Source organism: Homo sapiens, chromosome 3 (assembly GCF_000001405.40).
Source record: "Homo sapiens chromosome 3, GRCh38.p14 Primary Assembly".
Taxonomy (NCBI): Eukaryota; Metazoa; Chordata; class Mammalia; order Primates; family Hominidae; genus Homo; species Homo sapiens.
Genome location: NC_000003.12, coordinates 162730409 through 162733895, shown reverse-complemented (window position 1 = coordinate 162733895; position 3487 = coordinate 162730409).

Below are 3487 nucleotides of genomic sequence, written 5' to 3'. Positions count from 1 at the left end.
GAATTAGTCTCTACTGACGGGGTGATTCTTACCTGCCTTACGGAATGATGCTTTCATCTGTGGGTGAGCAATTGGAGTTTCCATTGCCTCGGTTTCTAGGGCTGCCCTCTCCGTAGTGTCTTTGCTAAAGTGATCCTCCCACCTCAGCCAGCAGAGTAGCTAAGACTGCAGATGTGCACCACCAAGCCTGGCTTTTTTTTTTTTTTTTTTTTTTTTTTTTTTTAATTTTTGTAGAGACATCCTTATGTTGCCCAGGCTGGTCTCAAACTCCTGGGCTCCAGCGATCCTACCACCTTGGCCTCCTGAAGTACTGGGAGTACAGGTGTGAGCCACTGTGCCTGGTTTCAGTGGACTCTTCACGTCAGACATCTTCAGTCTGTGCAGCAGTCCAGACCAGAAACCTGGCATATGCTGTTTACACACAAGGGCTCCAAAGTCCCTTACTACTTTCTAGGACCCAGGCTGTCTTGTGGTATTTTCTCTAAGTGTGTCTGAAATGTTCATTTAGTATATCCCTCAAATGTGGCTATCCTCAGGCTCTCTGATGATCTTGAAATTACCATGATTAATAAAAATCTGCTCTGAAAAATGTGTCCTCTTTCCACACTCTGTGAGACCCAGCCCTTGAATATGTTATCAGGTACCTCTAAAACCTATAACTGCCCCCACCCAAGCTTGCCAGCCTGGCCACACACGAGAGGTTTTGGAGGTTCCTCACATTCATTGGTATGTTCTCTGCCATAAATGCTTAATTATTTTACACATACAGAGTTTTTTTTTTTTTTGCCTCCCCCCCATTAGCATTGGCTCAAGCTTCAAGTACCATACAATGCTAAATAGAAGTGCTGAAAATAAACCACCATATTTTATTTCTGATTTCAAGGGAAATTTTTAATCATTCAATAGGCCACTTGCTTTAACTTTTTAATAGGTAACTTTGTCACATTAAGTTCCTTTCTGTTCCTACGTGGAAGCCGGGTGAGGCCTGTGACTGCTGGCTTTCCCCTACTTCCCTGGCAACCTGTATAACTCAGCAGAGGCAGTCATAGTCCTCCTGGAAACAAAACTCCATTGGTCTGAGAACCACACCCCAATCCCCCACAGCAGCTACAGCAAGCCCCACCCAAGGAGAGTCTGAGCTCAGCCTATCCCTGACCCCACTTGATGGTCTTTCTCTACCTGCCCTGGTTGCTGAAGACCAAGGACATAATCTCTTGAGAGCTCTATGGCCTTGCCTACTGCCTGAGAAACCTGAATATTTAAACAGGCGAGTTTGCTTCCTCCCTATACAAAAGCAGCTGATGTGCTTTTGAAAGGGCCACCTTCAGGCTGGAGGCCAAAAAGAAACCACAAAACCAGTTCATTAACCAAAAATACAACCAAGGACCCTCAAAAAGTTCATTCCCCTGCTACCTCCATTGGAGCAGGTGCTGGTATCTGTTATGTGTGTGCCTAATTGAAGAGAGTACCCAATCAGCCTAACTGTGAGCAACATGGCTATTTACTCACTCGGGTGCAAGCGGGCTGAGTCTGAAAAGAGAGTCAGGGAAGGGTGGTGGGAGTGGAACTGGTTTTATAGGTTTGGGGTAGGTAGTGGAAAGTTACATTTAGGGGCAGATTTTTCAGGCAGGGGAAGAATGTCACAAGGTGCATAGTCACAAGGTGGGGGGAGGTCACAAGGCACGATATCACAAGGTCGACTGATTCCACAATGGTGGAATGTTGCAAGGTCTGTTATCAGTTAAGGCAGGAACTAGCTGTTTCTTCATCGTTAGTGGTTCTCCTGTTGCTCCAGGCTTTGTGACTCCAGGAGGCCTGTACGTGTGGGTCACAGGGGTCATAATGGCTCAATCACGGTGTAGCCCTTTCAGAGGACCTTACAGTATCCATTGCTGAAAACCCTGAAGAAGGATCACATCACAGGACTCTTTGCAGACCAGTACCAGCCCAGAGACTGGTAGGTCTTCTATGTGGCTAGACCAAGAAGAGCAAAAATAATCACTGGGGTTGGGCTCTCAGGAAGCCCTATCCCTAGGGGAAGGGGGAGAACACCAAATCAAGGGAGCACCCTGTGGGACAAAAGAATCTGAACAGCAGCCCTTGAGTTCCATATCTTCCCTCAGACATAATCTATCTAAATGAGAAGAACCAGAAAACAATTCTAGTAATATGACAAAACGAGGCTCTTTAACAGCCCCAGAAGATCAAACCAGCTCACCAGCAATTGACCCAATCCAAGATGAAATCTCTGAATTGCCAGAAAAATAAGTCAGAAGGTTAATTATTAAGCTAATCAAGGAGACACCAGAGAAAGGTGAAGTCCAACAGCAATCCCATTACTAGGTATCTACCCAGAGGAAAAGAGGTAATTATACAGAAAAGATACTTGCACACACATGTTTATAGCAGCACAATTTGCAATTGCAATTATATGAAACCACCTCAAATGCCCATCAATCAACAAGTAAATAAAGAAAATGTGATATACACACATGCACGCACACACACACACACACATATCATGGAATACAACTCAACCATAAAAAGGAATAAAATAATGGCATTTGTGGTAATCAGGATGGAATTTGAGACTATTATTCTAAGTGAAGTAACTCAGGAATGGAAATCTAAACATTGTATATTCTCATTCATAAATGGGAGCTAAGCTATGAGACCACAAAGGTATATACAATGGACTTTGGGGACTCGGGGAAGGGTGGGAGGGGGGTGAGGAATAAAAGGCTATTCATCGTGTACAGCGTATGCTTCTTGGGTGATGGATGCACCAAAATCTCAGAAATAACCATAAAGAACTTATTCATGTAACCAAATATGACCTGTTCCTCAAAAACCTATTGAAATAAAAAATTTTAAAAAAGAACACTGATAAGTTTTTCTTTACCATAGTCCATGTGAAAATATTTATATTTCACTTTTCTTCTTAAAGCACATTTATGTTTTTCTCTTACTCATTTCATAGTTTGAGGTTTGCAGATTTTTTTTTTAATTTTTCAGTCCCCTGAAGGAATCAAGATATTATCTTCTGGTTGGCCTAATTTCTGCTACAAAGCCAGTTGTCAGACTGGCTGTTAGGCTTTCGAAGGTAATCTGATTTTTGTTTGTTTGTTTATGATATCTTTGAAGATTTTCTTTTTACCTTTGGTTTTCAAAAGTTTTGTTGGTTTTTGAACATACATTTCTTTTTACACATCTTAGTTGATATTTGTTGAGTGGCCAACAAACATATGAAAAAAAGCTCATCATCACTGATCATTAGAGAAATGCAAATCAAAACCACAATGAGATACCATCTCATGCCAGTCAGAACGGCCATTATTAAAAAGTCAAGAAACAATAGATGCTGGCGAAGCTGTGGAGAAACAGAAACGCTTTTACACTGTTTGTGGGAGAATCCTTCTTCAATTTACTTCTTTGGTCAGTTTGTGAGACTTTCTAGCCATTACCTCTTTAATTATGACCTCTGCCC